The 18,158-nt window shown below is 37.3% G+C and overlaps 1 protein-coding gene across 8 annotated transcripts in view, besides 1 other annotated feature; it reads left to right on the forward strand.

Annotated features, from left to right (window-relative positions):
- MYO3B (myosin IIIB) overlaps positions 7,117-18,158 on the forward strand; it is a 477,021-nt gene continuing 465,979 nt past the window's right edge. For 5 of the 8 annotated variants that reach the window (NR_045682.2, NR_045683.2, NR_045684.2 and 2 more), the window contains exon 1: positions 7,117-7,259. Coding sequence is in view for 5 of the 8 variants with exons in the window: in NM_138995.5 (NP_620482.3) it covers positions 7,258-7,259 (2 nt within the window). In the remaining 3 variants the exon portion in view is untranslated. Of the gene's footprint in view, positions 7,260-9,099; positions 9,152-18,158 lie in introns of those variants that run through there. The other 3 variants (XM_011510654.4, XM_006712299.5, XM_011510655.4) reach the window with 1 other exon arrangement.
- Positions 9,299-9,528: an enhancer, noted in NCBI's record as "active region_16743". NCBI's record gives its function as "activates an Ori minimal core promoter by ATAC-STARR-seq in GM12878 lymphoblastoid cells {active_cell/tissue: GM12878}" and the evidence as "EXISTENCE:reporter gene assay evidence [ECO:0000049][PMID:35858748]".

Below are 18,158 nucleotides of genomic sequence, written 5' to 3' on the forward strand. Positions count from 1 at the left end.
GCAATGCAGATTGATGGGAGAGTTTCCTTGGGGACTGCATGTGCCTGGAACCTGGATGTTTGACATCTAAGTAAGAAAGAGAAAGGTCTTGGTTGTCTTTTACCTAGGAGAACCAGTGATTGAAAACCATTCGTTCATTATAAGAAATATTCTTAATATAGTCAATAGTTTTTATATATTTTGATCATTCTCTAGTCTAGGTTACATCTTTCCCCAAAAGTTATTCATAAGCCTTAAAAATATTTAAATCCTTTTGTCTAGCAAGTCTATACCCAGGACTTTAACTTAAAACCATTACGTATGTATATATGAATGCTAAGATGTTGATTGCAGTAGCTCATAAATAAGGAAAAATTGGAAACAACAAAATGCTTATGGGGCATCAGTTAACTAATTTGGTGTGCCCGTGTAAGGGAAAGAGGAATGGTCAGTAATACCTCTTGCAGACTAGCAGTTCTCATATGTCTGTACAAGCCCCAGCCCACCAAGAAATCTTAATGTGAGGGTGGGTGGAGGAGGATTGTAGCTTCGGAAGCAAGGTATAATTTTTAAAATGCCTCCTTGGTGATTCTGATATCCTGAGAGTGGAGATATCTCCTTTTAAGAATCAAGATTATAGTTAAATGATGTTAAAACCTACTAAAAAATGATGTAATATTTTTAAAAATACCAAATATCAAACAATAGGTAGTCAACACTGGTTAAAAAAAAATGCACACCCACCCATAGACACTCTTGCACCTACCCACATGCATTTTTTTTTTAAGTCTGAAGGAAAGACAACAAAATGTTGAAAGTGATTAGTTTTTGGGTAGGATTAGGGGTGATTTTATTTGATTTGTATCCTGTATTTTCCAACATCTCACCTACAAACATGTACTACTTTATAATCACAGAAAAAGACACAACACATTCTTGAATTTAAAAAGAATGTAAAAATTAAAATAGTAGCCAATATTTTCTGAAGAGTGTTAATTTTGACAGAAAAAAAAATTCCTGAATTGTTTATTATACTTGTATGGTCTCTAAGTTATCCATAGTTTGCCAAGCCTGTTGGCTTACGGTAGAACCAAACCCAGACATTACTTCCCCCTCATGGCAGCTACCCAAATTTCAGGACTAGTGTCTAAGAATGTGAAAACAAACATCTGAGTTCTCTTCCAAATCAACTTTACACTCTGACTGAATTTTTTTTTTTTTTTTTTTGAGACAGGGTCTCCCTGTCATCCAGGCTGGAGTGCAGTGGTGAGATCATAGCTCACTACAGCCTTCTGGGTTCAAGAGATTCTCCCGCTTTAGCCTCCTGAGTATCTGGGACTACAAGCATATGCCACCACATGAGCTAATTTTTAAATTTGTAGAGATTGGCAGGGTAGTTCTCCCTATGTTGCTTAGGCTGGTCTTGAACTCCTGACATTAAGCAATCCTCCTCTCTTGGCCTCCCAAGGTACTGGGATTACAGGCATAAGCCACCATGCCTGGCTTTTGGATTGAATTTCTGGAGAGTCAAATAGTTGTCTAAACATAGCCAGGGCCTTCTGGAACAGTCTCTGGTGACACATGCGTAAATGCTATGGGCAGGTGTGTATGTTACCACCTATGTGGAGAGCTGGTTTCTCCTATATTTTTCTCAGCACTTGGACAAGAATTTTCTAGAGGACTGGACTTTTCCATTTGTGGGTAGAAGTAAACGCTGGAGGGTAACGAGCTATAGTAGAAGATGACCAGAACAGGAGTCTGATAATGGGGTTCTAGACCTGGCAAAATGAAGGCAGGAGCGCCAGACCTTCTTGCATTCCAGGATTTCTTTAAGAATTGGATGAGATAACACTTGCAAAAGTGTCATGAAAGCTATAAAATGTTAACCCTGCAAAGAGTGTTATTACTTTTTAATAATAAGCCAGCCTGGATTTTTCATAATCTGAGAGTTAAGAACCCTACTGATTGGACAATACTACTGTGGCCAATTCTTGTGAAGAGGAGCAGCCTCTTTTGCTTTGTGGAGTCATTTTTTTTCTCAGTCATAATCATAGATGGCAGGACCAGGATTTGTGTCCACCTATCACTGGCCTTACCCTGCATGATCCTCCTTGCTCCCTAACCTCTGGCCATGCCTCAGATCTCTTGGTTCCAGGAATATTTGCTTGCCGCGGTGCTATCTCCACTTTGGGCCTTCACACGGTGCTTCCCTCTGCCGAAAACATTCCCCCGTCCCCTGTCCCTTCAGCTCACTTCCTCAGCTGGCTTTCTGAAGCAGTGTTTCTCAAAGGGTGGTCCAGCATCACCTGGGAACTTGTTAGAGATGCATATTCTGTGGCTCTTCTCCACCACCAGGGTCAGAAACTCTGGATGTGGAGTCCAGCAGTCTGTTTTACCAAGCCCTCCAGAAGATTCTGATGAATACAAAAGTTCGAGAACCACCCCCCTAGAGCAATGATTCACAAACTTTTTTGCCTCTTTGGGAAGCTTAAAAACTGCTGGTGCTCAGAGCCATACTCCAGAATTTCCAGGGAGAGGTGGGACCAGGAATCCATATTTGTAAATCTCTTCAGGTGATTCCAATGTGCAACCAAGTTGGAGAATCACCTCAGAGGCCTGATTTCCTTTGTCATGGGCTCCTATAGCACCTTGCACTTCCCTTCTGTAACACTCATGCTCTGAGCCCCATAGGGATAAGGAGGCTACTTTATGTCACCAGGACCTGCCACACCATAGGCACCATGGAATGTTTTTGTTTGTTTTTTGTAGAAACAGTATCTCACTCTGTTGTCCAGGCTGGAGTGCAGTGGCAAGATCATAGCTCACTGCATGCTCGAACTCCTGGACTCAAGCCATCCTTCCACTTCAGCCTCCCAAGTCGCTGGGACTACAGTTGCACACCATCATGCCTGGATAATTTTTTTAATCTTTTAGTTTTGTAGAGATGGGTTCTCACTATATTGCCCAGGCTGGTCTTGAACTCCTGGGCTCAAGCAATCCTCCCACCTTGGCCTCCCAAAGCCACTGGATGTTGACAGAATGAATCACACTGTGCTTTGATTACAGGGTATGTTGGAAGGATTGATTTGAAAATACTAATACCAAAAAGATTTCCACATGACATTTTCCAAAATATGATTAGGAAAGTAGTATGGAAGATCATAGTAGTTTCACCGTATTCAGGATGAAGGAAGATTGAGCTTTATGGAGAGAGAAGTATGGAAGTGCAGGAACAATCCCCAGGGATCTCTGTGTGTACCGTGTGTGTGTGTGTGTGTGTGTGTGTGTGTGTGATAAAGCAGATCACACACAGGTGATCTCTGTGTGTGCCCAGTGTGTGTGTGTGATAAAGCAGGCGAACTCCAGATCCACAAATTTTTAAAATCTGAAACTGGACACATTGTTTGCCCTGTTTTTCAGGGCAGACTTAATACCCAGAGATTCTCCTTTTACCATTAGGATTTATTTGTTTTTTAAGTATTAGCTGATGACTTTGGTTAAGTTCTTATTTGACTTAGAATGTCATTTGGAATTGAGGGATAAAACCCATGAAATGAAAATGTGGATATTAAAATGGAGCAGAAAATGGATTATTTGGTGCTGCTAAAAATTCATCTGTTTAGAGTAAAACTTTTTTTTTTTTTTTTTTTTTGAGACGGAGTCCTGCTCTGTCACCCAGGTTGGAGTGCAGTGGGCACCATCTCAGCTCACTGCAACCTCTACCTTCTGTGTTCAAGCGATTCTCCTGCCTCTGCCTCCTGAGTAGCTGGGCTTACAGGCGCCCGCCACCACGCCCAGCTAATTTTTGTATTTTTAGTAGAGATGGGGTTTCACCATATTGGTCAGGCTGGTCTCCAACTCCTGACCTTAGGCGATTCACTCACCTGGGCCTCCCAAAGTGCTGGGATTACAGGCATGAGCCACCGCGTCTGGCCTGTTTAGAGTATAACTTAGTAGGATGTTCTTTGGAAAAATTATCCAGAAGACACTCAAAAGTTAGGTATTTTCTTTTTTTCCTTCTTTGCAATTTGTCAGCCATCAAGTGTAGTGTCTGGCACTCCATAAATGGATGAAGAAAACTAAGAGGTTTACTTGTGGTAATTCATTTTACAGTGTTATTAAATGCTTTGCTAGTTTGAAATGTTTCTGCTATAATAAATAATTTAAGACTTAAAGTCCTTTCTTTTCAATGTAGTTCCTTCTTAAGGTGTTTTTACTTGAAGGGTGTGCGTGTTTGCCCGTGCACACATGTGGGCATGTATGCTTATGAATGAAAATGATCATGAAATTATTGCTCTTTTAGTTCTTTGGAAAAATAAATCTTATGCATATATTTCTTAGGTATTTTAATTGCCTTTGTTATGTAAAGAAATCCCATTCATTCATCCATCCAGTAGGTCATTTCTTTCAACATTATATAGCCACATGCCAGGCCCTATGTTAGGCATGGGAGATATAATGGTGGACCTGATAGGCATGGTTCCTGTCCTCCTGTTGCTGTGTAGTGGTTTTAGCACTTGCGAAAGTCATCTATGAGATTCTTTTGCTTCCGGGTTCTTACATTTTTATTGTTGAGGTGGGGTCTCACTTTGTCCCCCAGGTGAGAGTGCAGTGGTGTGATCATAGCTCACTGCAGACTTGAACTCCAGGGCCCAAATGATCCTCCCACCTCAGCCTCCCAAGTAGCTGGGACTACAGGCATGTGCCAACATGCCCTGCTAATTTATTTATTTTTTGTAGAGACAGAGTTTTGCTATGGTGCCCAGGCTGGTCACTTCTGCGTTCCTGAGTCATTCCTGACTTGATGTGTGTGCGTATATTTTATTCTTGACATTAATTAGCATTTTTCTGCTACTCTTGGATGAACTTTCTAAACACGCTACCTTCCAACCTTATCAGTACATTCAAACCAAGTGGACATCCCAGAATAAGGTGGTGATTCTATAGCAACACAAATTAAATGTCCATTCCCCAAAATGTCTCATTGGAGAGAACAAATAATACACCACATAATTAATAGATTTAAAATCTTCATGGTACTTTAGCTTCATTAAAGATAGCAGCTCAAGCAAATTTAAAATTAATAGATTCTATCTAGTTCGCCTATTGTTATTTTTGAAGTCTGTTACAGAAGAGAAATTATGCAAATGGCTGTCAGGCTATTGCTGCTGCACTCACACTAGGAATGCATTATAATTTCTTTCTTAGAGGAAACACTTATTTGGAGCAGACCAGGCCCTCGGTTCGTTCGCAAGAGGTTGTCCCTTCCTTCAGATGGTCCATTTTGAGCTAATAAGTACTATCAGGGTTGAGGTGGAGAGGCGGGGCTGTGGGGAAGGAAATTAGGATAAATTACTGGGGCCCAGTGGCTGAAAGGGCCTCGGGCAAATCCCTGGTGAAGACAGTCTAGCCAGTCCTCCTCTGCTGGGGCATCTGGTATTTTTTTTCCCTTGGGCCTGGGCAGGCTGTCGGTCACCTTCCAGACTGTATAGCCTTTAACTCCTTGTTGCAATGGAATCCTGCTGGCCTTCTGATTTGCCTTTTCCTGCAAAAATCTGCCAAGACACTCTTTCTCAAAGAAAATTTCCTATGTTACTCTACTGTTTAAAAGCCTGGTGTGGCACCCTCTCACCTTTGAGGAAAAATTCCAGCCCCCCAGGCTGCCTGAAAGCTCTGCCTTCAACTGACTCTTGTATACAAATTCAACTTCATCTCTTGATTATTTTTATAATTCTTCTACTGGAACCAGGCTGATCTTTTTAACAACCTGTTAATTTTAATAACCTGTTCATTTATTTATTAATTTATTCTGCAAGCAGATGGGATGATAAGTTCAGTCCAACTGTAGGAATCCATGATTCTACTAGCTATAATATGAGCAATTATTATGTGCAAATACTGTAGGAAATATAGGAAGATAGAACACATTATCCCCATTCTTAAGATTCTTATGACAGTAAATGGAAACACAAAGGCCATTATTGACTAGCGGGAGTAAGATCGCTGTCCTTTAAATCACCTTCTTCATATTTGCATTCTCTGTGTGCTGTTTCTTGGCTCTGGGTTTCTCTCCTGCCTCATCTACACTAATCCTTTTCACTTCTTCATTCAAAACTGTACCTAGATTTATCTGCTCCAGGAAGCATTCCCACTCAAGTCTTGGTCCTGGGTTGAACTGACTCCTCCTCAGAATTGATGGATATAGCTTATCCAGTGTTATTGCACAGTCTTCAACTATTTCACATGGGCCTATGTGTCATGTTAGCTGGCCAGAAAAGAAGCTTTCTGGGGACCCTACCCTCCTGTTTCTCACTTCCCCTCTCTCCCTTTTTTTTTTTTTTTTTTTTTTTTGAGATGGAGTCTTACTTTGTTGCCCAGCCTGGAGTGCAGTGGCAGAATCTCTACTCACTGCAACCTCCGTTTCCCAGGTTCAAACAATTCTCCTGCCTCAGCATCCCTGGTAGCTGGGATTACAGGCGCACACCACCATACCCTGCTAATTTTTGTATTTTTAGTAGAGATGGGGTTTCCCCATGTTGGCCAGGCTGGTCTCGAACTCCTGACCTCAGGTGATCCACGAGCCTTGGCCTCCCAAAGTACTGGGATTACAGGCGTGATCCACCATGCCCAGCACCACCCCCCCACCCCCTGCCTCCTCTTAACCTACTGTTCTGTATATAGCCCAGGGCATGCTACTGAATGAATAGTCACTGTTGAATAGTCACTGTTTCATTGCTTGGTAATTCAGATCAGAAACTCATGGTGTTTCCCCTGGGTTTATCTGCAGTTCAGAAAAGTGACCCTGACTACATGCTTTGATTATGCCCTTTGCTCACAAAAAGATGATTAGTTTTGATTGTGCAGCATTTGGAATGAAGGAATTTAATCTGGAATGAAGGAACTTTAAAAGGTTGGGGGAATATCACATTGGAACTGTTAAATGACATGCAAACAGGATCTGTGAGAATGGTTTTGATTCTGCTCTGTGTCCTGGTAGGAGACACTAAATAGATCAGGCTCACTACCAATTAGCATCATCTTAATCTTGCCTAATAGTGAAGCAAAGTCACCAAGGATTTGGTGGATTTATCAGCTCCTCCCACAATAGTCATCTGAGGCTAACACCTCTTGGAACCTAGATCGAAAGTCCTTTGGTAATGATGTGTCATACATTCTAGTCATCAAAGACACCATTTTCTGGGCCTGAAGTGTTCTGCTGGTTTTTGGAGGAATGAGAATCCAATCTCTCATAAGCCGGATTCAGAAAATAGGTCATCGATGTGAGTTGCAGTTATTTTCCTTCCAGCTTTCTTCTGTGCTTGCTTTAGATTGTTTTTCTGCAAAGGGCAGATGCAGCTGCCCTGGCTGGTGGGCAGTGGAGGGGGATGACAGCCACTCTGGCTTTGGGCCTCTGTCTGACATCACCCAGATTCCTGGGTCCTCTCAGTTAGCATTTGCCTTTTGTCTGGGTGGTTAAATTTCTCTTGAAGGAGTAGGATAAACACCCTCTTGAGTATTGCTTTTTACACAGACACACACCACACACACACACACACACACACACACATACACACAGCATAGTTCATAGTCACTTGATTTGCCACCTGCAGTTTATAATAGAATGGACCTGTGGGATTATAAACCACTTTATTTCTGCACAGAATTTCTCAGCTTGAGGCCAAATTGAAGGGCATTAGTCATCAGTAATTTGCAGATGTTTTTAATGTTTTTCACCCAAGAGAGGTTTCAGGCAGCTAAAGCTAAGATAAATTTCCTCATGCTTTGGTGGGGAAATGAAAAATCTGATCATTTAGTTAATCATTTGTAAGAGCTGTGGGTATGTATTGTTCCTTAGTGACTGCAATATCATGACAGATTTGTTAATTTGGTAACATGACAATGTAAACAATAGTAGATAAATTCCATTATGCCATGATTCTTTTCTTCCTCTCAGTAATTTTGTATATTCAAGGTTTAAAATCCATAGAACATTAGAGATGGAACTTAGAGATCAACCTAGAGATCATTGGATTCCTCTACCAAGCTCTGTCAAATGCCAGTCCTGAGTGTCTCCCCTGGAGCATCAGGATAAATAGCTAATGCATGGGGGGCTTAATAGGTGCAGCCAACCCACCATAGCACATGTTTATCTGTGTAACAAACCTGCACGTCCTGCACATGTAACCTGGAACTTAAAATAAAATAAAATTTAAAGAAAGGAAAAGAGTACATAATCAGTGGAACCATAAAGGTCAGTTCTAGTGGGAAAATTAGGAAAGGCCTCCTAGAAGAGAAGACATTTGAGCTATACTTGAACAGGCCCTATCTAGCAGCATCCAGATAGGTGGTTTGTGAAGAAGCCAGTTCCTACTCTTACGTCTTTACCATGGTTATGGTTTGAATGTCCCCTCCAAAGATCATGTTGAAATTTAATTGCCATTGTGAGAAGAAATGGGACCTTTAAGAGGTGACTAGGTCATGAGGGCTCTGCCCTTATGAATGGATTAATGCTGTTATTGTGGGAGACGGCTCCTAGTAAAAGGATAGGTTCAGTCTCCTTTTTCTCTCTCTTGAGCTCTCACTCTCTTGCCCTGTCTCACTATGTGAGACCTTCCACCATGTTATGATGCAGCAAGAAGGCCCTCACCAGATGTGGCCCCTTGATCTTGGACTTCCCAGCCTCCAGAACCATGAGCCAAATAAACTTCTATTGTTTATAAATGATGCAGTCTGTGGTATTCTGTTACAGCAGCAGAAAATGGACTAACACAACTATTATGCACTTGCTTATGTATTGGTTTGGAATTATTCTCTAATTTACTCACGCTTGTATGGTATGTGTTTCCTTATTCTGTGTATCTCTGGGTGTTATATTTAATATTTGTACAGATTTCCTCTGACATTTCACAGTTCAGGTTTCCGATTTCTTCTTTCTAAAATCTATTCTCTAGATTTGAAAGCATTCTATGATTTGTGATTCATATATACCATACTATAACATCTAGAAAAAATATTCTGAATAGCATACTGAGCAATGGAAATCTTCATCATGAATTTTCTAATGAGTATAAAATGTTGCTGGGCAAGTTTCTATTTAAATCATGCTCGCTAGGCTTGACTAACTGCAGACATTCACAGGGTGCATGCTGCAGAGTGCTTTACTTTCAACAAGGTAAGGCTGTACCTCCGTTAGGGACTAATTCAGGGTATTCAACAAGGGATCAGACTAGACCAATTTGGGGTTGTTAAGGAACTAAAACTAGCTCACGAGAAACTCAAATCAGCTCATGAAAAGAGGGGCTGCTTGGAAGAATGCAGTAGGAAATTTCATGGGTTACAAGGACAGACAGCAAAGCTTAGCAGGCCTCAGAGGGCCAAGATGTAGAATTCACAGTGAACCCACTCACTAATCCTCTTTGTCTCACTCTCTCAAGCATGGTCCTTTCAGTTTCTTATTTCTCTGTTTTCTTTTTCTTCTCAGGATGAGCCTCTGTTTCATATGGTTTCTGCTATCCTCTGACTTCAGCACACATTTGGGTCATAATAGTCTCCTCTGTAGAGATCTCTTATATGTTTTTTTAAAAAATATTTATTTTAAAAAGTAGAATAACATATGCACTAGCAAAAAACATGACTAAAAATGTGTAATAATTTTAAAAAGCATATAAATTTCTCTCTTTTCCAAACTCTCTGATTTTTACCACCTCTCCCTAAAGTTTAAGAGTTTCCTGTGTAGCCTTCTGGAAAAATGTATATAAGGATATACACATACATAGAGACATACACACAAATATACACATAAAATGACTAGAAATGCAAATATTCTTTGTATTTACACAAAAATTGTCCTCTCTATACACTATTCAACACTTTTAAAACAAATCTTAATTGTATATTTGGCATTCTTTCCATATTAATTGGCAGAAAATTTACCTTTTTTCTTTTTGGTGGTTACCTGTGGCTACATTGTATTTAATTTTATGTAACTATTATGATTTATTAGATAATCTCTCCATGATGATGGGCCTCTAGGTTGTATCTGGTTTTCTACTGAAAATAATACTATAGTGAACAATCTTGTATGTCTATCTACTTCAAGTTTAATAGAGTTTTAGCTCTTACATCTGTTTAATGATTAAAGTTAATTTTTATATGTGGTGTAAGGATAAAGATTCTTTTTTTCTTTTTGCATATTGCTCTACAATTGTTTTAGCACTGTTGAAAAGTTTTCCTTTCTAGTATGTAGAAATATAATTGAATTTAAAATATTGACCTTGTTTGTATCCTGTAATTCTGATAAACTCACTAATTAGTTCTAGTAATGTTTTTATAAATTCCATCAGTTTTTTAAATAGATAATCATGTAATCTTCAAATTAAGCCCATTTTACTTCTTCCCTTCTAATCTGGATTTTTAAATTTTCTTTTTCTTGACTTATTATTCTGGCTTCACCACAGTATTCAATATAAATGATGAGAGCAGACATCCTTGGCTTCTGATCTTAAGGTGAAAGCATTCGGTTTTTCACCATTAAGTGTGGTGTTAACTTCAGGTTTTTCCTAGATTCCTGTATCAGATGAAGAAGTTCCTTTCACTTTCTAGTCTGTTGAGAGATTTTTGTTGTTGTTTTTAAATTTTGAATAAATGTTGAATTTTTTGTGAATGCTTTTTCTGCATCGATCGAGATGATGGTTTTTCTTTTATGTTCTGTTAATATAAATCTAAGTGTGCTTTTTTTGATTATATATGTAAAGTAAATGCCTACCAGTAGAATTACAGAGACAAAGGGAATGGGCATTTGGTAGATTTTGACTAATAATTCCTCACAAAGATTGTTTACGCTTTCGCTCATGTTGTCTCAGAGTGCTTATTTCTCTTAACACTATTATCAAACTTCTAAAAATCTTGACAGTGTGATAGGAGACAAATGGTATCTCATTAGTTTGATTTGCCGTTTAAAATTTACTAGTGAGATTTAGCATCTTTTATACATTTAAATTTTTTGAGTCTTTTTCTTTTTTATTGTATATACTCTTGATAGAAAATTAGCTCCTGATACAAACCTTCTTTTCTATTTATTTTTTGGAAAAATGTTAGTACTTACAACAATTCTTTTGGTTGTAGAGACCTTTTTACTTGTATGCAATTATGTTTATCAATTTTTTTCTTAGGGCTTGTGAGTTTTCTATTCTACTTGAAAATATTTCTTGCCTACACCAAGACTATAATGTATTTAGCTATATTTTTTTAAAAAATTTTGAGCCACCATACTCTATTTTGGAGAAAGGAATGAGGTAGCAATCTGGCTTAACTTTTTTTCTGAACAGCCAGCAAGTTAAGCCAGCATAATTTATTGAACAGTATTATTTAGTCCATCTTTTGCCTATTGATTTGTAATGTGATTTTTATCATAAACCCTATTTCTTTGTGTATTTGAGTCTACTTTTGGTTTCTAGTCTAACGATCTGACTACTTATTTCTACCCCTGTGGCATAATGTTTTAATTACTCTAGCAGTATAACATGTTTTAGTGTCTGGTCAAATTATGTTCACTAATTATTCTTTTTTAAAATTTTCATGTTATGTGTTTTTCTTTTTCTGTTTCTTTTTTTTTTTTTTTGAGACTGAGTTTCACTCCATTGCCCAAGGTGGAGTGCAGTGGCGTGATCTCAGCTGTCTGCAACCTACGCCTCCCAGGTTTATGTTATTCTCCTGCCTCAGCCTCCTGAGTAGCTGGGATTACAGGCACCTGCACCACACCCGGCTAAGTTTTCTGTTTTTAGTAGAGACGAGGTTTCACCATGTTGGCCTGGCTGGTCAAACTCCTGACCTCAAGTGATCTGTCTGCCTTGGCCTCCCAAAGTGCTGGGATTACAGGTGTGAGCCACTGTGACCAGCCCTCATGTGTTTAATTTTCTAATGAAGTTTAATATCATTTTGTCAAATTCTTAAAAAAAAACAAAGCGGCTGGGCGCTGTGGCTCATGCCTGTAATCTAGGACTTTGGGAGGCCAAGGCGGGTGGATTGCCTGAGCTCAGGAGTTCAAGACCAGCCTGGGCAACACTGTGAAACCCCGTCTCTACTAAAATACAAAAAAATTAGCTGGGCGTGGTGGCATGCACCTGTAATCCCAGTTACTTGGGAGGCTCAGGCAAGAAAATTGCTTGAACCTGGGAGGCAGAGGTTGCAGTGAGCTGAGATCACACCATTGCACTCCAGCCTGGGCCACAGAGCAAGACTCTGTCTCAAAAAAAAACAATTATTTACTTTCAGACTAAATTTAGGAAGAATTGACATCTTCACAGTAAGGTTTTCTATCCAAGCATAAGGTATATGGTTTTGCATTTTTTTGGTCTCTTTTCATTTAATCCATTGATTTTAAGATTTTACTTTTATACATTCTGCTCTGTTCTCGTTAGGTTTAGCTTTGGGCATTTTACTCTCTTTAATTCCTATTAAAATGCTATTTTCTTTCTGGCTGATTACTTTTAACATATAGAAAAATATATTTTGAAATTGCTTGATTTCTAGATGCTAATTTTATACTCAGCTCCTCAATGAATCAACTTAATTTTTTTCATTGTTAAACTTTGATTTTCCAGGAATAAATCATTCCACTATTTATTTTATATTCACCATCTTCCCAGTGTTTATTTCTATGTTTTTTTGTCTAATCACAGTGGCTAATACTTCAAAAACAATGCAAAATTTTATAGTGTTTGTGAGAGATACTTGTCTTTTTTCTTGATTTTTATTAGCAATGGTTGTAGAAATCCATTATTAACTAAGATGTTGACTTTTGGTTTGAGAGATATGTTTCTGTGCTGTTTAAATGCTAGAAAGGAATTAACCCATTTGAATTTTTTAATGTTCTAAAAATTAGATATTAAAACTTACCAGATTCATTTTGGATTTCCATTTTTAATGGTGTTTCATACTTTGATATATTAATGGGAAAATCATAGTAATATATTCCCTAATGTTGCATTATCTTTGCTAAATTCTAATAGCTGATTTTTTTTCTGTGGTTTTATGTTTGTTTATTTTTAATTTTTAGTTTTTGTGGGTACATAATAGATGTATATATTTCTGGGGTACATGAGATTTTGATACAGGCATATAATGCATAAGAATCACATCAGGTTAAATGGGGTATCCATCACCTCAAGTATTTATCATTTCTTTGTATTACAATCTAATTATACTTTTAGTTATTTTTAAATTTACAATAAATTAGTGTTGATTGTAGTCATCCCTTTGTGCTATCAAATACTAGATCATATTCATTCTATTTTTTTGTACCCATTAACCATCCCTACTCCCCATCACCACTACCCTTCCCAGCCTCTGGTAACTATCCTTCTACTCTGTCTCCATGAGTTCAATTGTTTTAATATTTAGCTTTCACAAGTAAGTGAGAACATGCAAAGTTTGTCTTTTTGTGCCTGGCTTATTTCACCTAACATAATTACCTCCAGTTTCATCCATGTTGTTGCAAATGACAGGATCTCATTCTTTTTATGGCTGAATAATATTCCATTGTATATATAAACCTGATTTTATTTTTCCATTTATCTGCTGATGAACACTTAGGTTGCTTGCAAATCTTGGCTATTGTGAATAGTGCTACAATAAACATGGGAGTGCAGATAGTTCTTCAATATACTGATAACATTTCCTTTGGGGTGTACCTAGCAGTGGGATTGCTGAATCATATGGTAGTTTTATTTTTAGTTTTTTGAAGAACCTCCATACTGTTCTCCATAGTGATTGTGTTAATTTATATTCCCACCAACAGTGTACAAGAGTCTACTTTTCTCCACATTCTCACCAGCCATTTGTTATTGCTTAGTTTTTTTGGTTAAAAGCCATTTTAACTGGGGTGAGATGATATCTGATTGTAATTTTGATTTACATTTCTCTGATTATTGATTTTGAGCACCTTTTCATAAACCTATTTGCCATTTTTGAGAAATATCTGTTTAGGTCATTTGTTCATTTTAAAATCAGATTATTAGATTTTTCTTATAGAGTTGTTTGATCTCCTTATATATTCTCATTATTAATAACTTGTCAGATGGATAGTTTGCAAATATTTTCTCTCATTCTGTGGGTTGTCTCCTCACTTTGTTTATTGTTTCCTTTGCTGTTCAGAAGTTTTAAACTTGATGTAATCCCATTTGTCCATGTTTGCTGTGGCTGCCTGTGCCTGTAGGGTATCACTCAAGAAATCATTGCCCAGACCAACGTCCTGGAGAGTTTCTCCATTGTTTTCTTTGAGTAGTTTCATAGTTTGAGGTCTTAGACTTAAGTCTTTAATCCATTTAGATTTTATTTCATTCATTTGCATATGGATAACCAATTTTCCCAGCACCATTTATTGAGGAGCCTGTCCTTTCCTCAATGTATGTTTGTGGCAGCTTTGTCAAATAAGAGTTCACTGTGAATGCATTGATTTGTTTCTGTGTTCTCTATTCTGTCCTATTGGTCTATATAACTGTTTTTATGCCAGTGCCATGCTGTTTTGGTTACTATAGCTCTGTAGTATAATTTGAAGTTAGGTAAAGTGATTCTTCTAGTTTTGTTTGCTTTGCTCAGGATAGCTTTGGCTATTCTGGGTCTTTTGTGGCTCCATATACATTTTATGATGTTTTTTCTATTTATGTGAGGAATGACATTGGTATTTTGATAGGGAATGCATTGAATCTGTAGATTGCTTTGGGTAGTATGGACGTTTTAACAATATTGCTTCTTTCAAACTATGAACATAGAATATCTTTCCCTTTTCATGTGTGTCCTGTTCAATTTCTTTCATCAGTGTTTTATAGTTTTCGTTGTAGAGATCTTTCATTTTTTTGGGTTAATTCCTAGGTATTTTATTTGTAGCTATTGCAAATGGGATTACTTTCTTGATTTCTTTTTCCAGTTGTTTGCTATTGGAATATAGAAATGCTACCGATTTTTGTATGTTGATTTTGTATCCTGAAACTTTACTGAATTTATCAGTTCTAGTAGTTTTTTAATAGTGTTTTGGTTTTTCCAAATATAAGATCATACCATCTACAAACAAGGCTAATTTGACTTCTTCCTTTCCAATTTGGATGCCTTTTATTTCTCTCTCTTGTCTGATTGCTTTAGCAAGGACTTCCAGGACTATGCTGAGTAACAGTGGTGAAAGTGGGCATCCTTGTCATATTCCAGATATTAGTGGAAAGGCTTTCAATGTTTCCCCATTCAGTATGTGGGTCTGTCATATGCAACTTTTATTGTATTGGGGTATGTTCCTTCTATACCCAGTTTTTTTTAGGGTTTTTATCATGAAGTGATGTTGAGTTTTATCAAATGCTTTTTCAGCATGAACTGAAATGATCATATGATTTTTGTCCTTCATTCTGTTGATATGATGTATCACATTGATTGATTTGCATATGTTGAACCATACTTGCATTCCTGGGATAAATCCCACTTGGTCAGGATGAATAATCTTTTTAATGTATTGTTGAATTTGGTTTGCTAATATTTTGTTGAAGAGTTTTACTTCTACATTCATCAGGAATATTAGCCTGTAGTTTCCTTTTTTTGATGTGCCTTTGTCAGGTTTTGGTATCAGGCTAATACCGGCCCCATAAAATGAGTTTGAAAGTATTCCCTCCTCCTCTATTTTTCAGAATAGCTTGAGTAGGATTGGCATTAGTTCTTCTTTAAATGTTTAGTAAAATTCAGCAGTGAAGCCATCAGGTTCCAGGATTTTCTTTGTTGGGAGACATTTTTATGGCTTTGATCTCTTTATTTGTTACTGGTCTATTTAGTTTTTGGATTTCTTCATGGTTCAATCTTGGTAGGTTGTATATGTCTAGGAACTTACCCATTTATTCTAGATTTTTCCAATTTATTGATATATAGTTACTCATAGTAGCCACTAATGATCATTTGGATTTCTGTGGTATCAGTTGTAATGTCTCCTTTTCATCTCTGATTATATTTATTTGAGTTGTCTTTTTTTTTTTTTAAGTCTGGCTAAAGGTTTGTCAATTTTATTTATCTTTTCAAAAAACAAAAAGGTTTGTCAATTTTATTTATCTTTTCAAAAAACAAACTGTTTGTTTCCTTGACTTTGGTGTTGTTTTCTTCATTTCAATTTTACTTCTTTCTGCTCTGATCTTTATTATTTCTTTTCTTATAGTAATTTTGGTTTTGGTTTGCTCTTGCTTTTCTAGTTCTTTTTTTTGTTTTGTTTTTTTCAGATGGAGTCTTGCTCTGTTTCCCAGCCTGTAGTGCAGTGACACAGTCTTGGCTCACTGTAACCTCTGCCTCCTGGGTTCAAGTGATTCTCCTGCCTCAGCCTCCTGAGTAGCTGGGATTACAGGTGTGTGCCAGCATACCTGGCTAATTTCTGTATTTTAGTAGAGATGAGGTTTCACCATGTTGGCCAGGCTGGTCTCAAACTCTTGACCTCAAGTGACCTGCCTGCTTCATCCCAAAGTGCTGGGATTACAGGTGTGAGCCACTGTGCCCAGCCACTTTTCTAGTTCTTTAACATGCATCATTAAGTTGTTTATTTGAAGTTTTTCTACTTTTTTGTATGTAGGCACTTATAGCTATAACCATTCCTCTTAGCACTGCTTTCACTGTATCGTGTAGGTTTTGGTATGTAGTGTTTCTATTATCATTTGATACAATACACTTTTATGTTTCCTTCTTAATTTCTTCATTGACCCACTGGTGATTCAGGAACATATTGTTTAATTTCCATGTGTTTGTACAGTTTCCAAAATTCCTATTGTTACTGATTTCTAGTTTTAATCCGTCATGGTTGGAGAAGATACTTGATATAATTTCAATTCTTTTGAATTTTTTAAGACTAATTTGGTGGCATAACATATGATCTATCCTTGGGAGTGATATATGTGCTGGGGAAAATGTGTATTCTGCAGCCATTGTATGAAATGTTCTGTAACTATCTAATAGGTCCATTTGGTCTGTAATGCAGATAAAGTCCAATGTTTCTTTGTTGATTTTCTGTCTGGATGATCTGTTCGATGCTTAAAGTGAGGTGTTGAAGTCTCTAGCTATTAATTTATTGGAGCCTCTCTTTAGCTCTAAAATTTACATATCAGAGTGCTTCAGTGTTAGGTGCATATATTTACATTTGTTATATTGTCTTCCTGAATTAACCCCTTTGTCATTATATAATGACCTTCTTTGTCTCTTTGTATAGTTTTTGTCTTGAAATCTATTTTGTCTAATGTAAGTATAGCTACCTCTGCTCTTTTTTGGCTTCCATTTGCATAGAATATTTTTTTTCCATCCAAATAGAATCCCAAAGTAGTTATATTCAGTCCGTGTGTGCCTTGATAAGTGAAGTAGGTTTCTTGTAGGCAGCAGATCATTAGGTCATTAAAAAATCTATTTAGCCATTCTGTCTTTTGATTGGAGAGTTTAGTTCATTTATATTCAATATTATTGATAAGGACTTAATTCTGCCATTTTGTCATTTGTTATATTTTCTGATTGTGTTTGTGGTTATCTCTTCTTTCTTTCCTTTTTTTCTTTTTAGTGAAGGTGATTTTCTCTAGGTATGTTTTGATTACTTGCTTTTTATTTGTTGTGTATCTGTTATGTTTTTTGATTTGCAGTTACCATGAGGCTTGCAAATAATAGCTTATAATCCATTATTTTATTAATAAACTAATGATAACTGATTTCATAAGCAAACAGGCAAAGAGAAATTAATGAGAACTCTACACTTTAACTTCATCTCCCTGCTTTTTTGGCTGTTCATATCTTATTGTACTGTCTATGTCTTGAAAAGTTGCTGTAGTTATTACTTTTGATCAGTTCATCTTTTAGTCTTTCTAGATATGTATAGTTTACACACCACAATTAGTGTTATAATATTCTGTGTTTTTCTGTGTGCTTACTATTGCCAGTGAGTTTTGTACCTTCAAATAATTTATTCTTGCTTTTTGACATCCTTTTTTTCAGATTGAAGAACTCCCTTTAGCATTTATTGGAGGTCAGGTCTGGTGCTGATCAAATCCCTCAGCTTTTGTTTGTCTGGGAAAGTCTTTATTTTTCCTTCCTGTTTGAAGGATATTTTGGATGGATATACTACTCTAGGATAAAAGTTTTTTTCCTTCAGCAATTTAAATATGCCGTGTCACTGAGGAGTCTGCTGC

The sequence above is a fragment of the Homo sapiens genome, chromosome 2 (genome assembly GCF_000001405.40).
Source record: "Homo sapiens chromosome 2, GRCh38.p14 Primary Assembly".
NCBI classification, from domain to species: domain Eukaryota; kingdom Metazoa; phylum Chordata; class Mammalia; order Primates; family Hominidae; genus Homo; species Homo sapiens.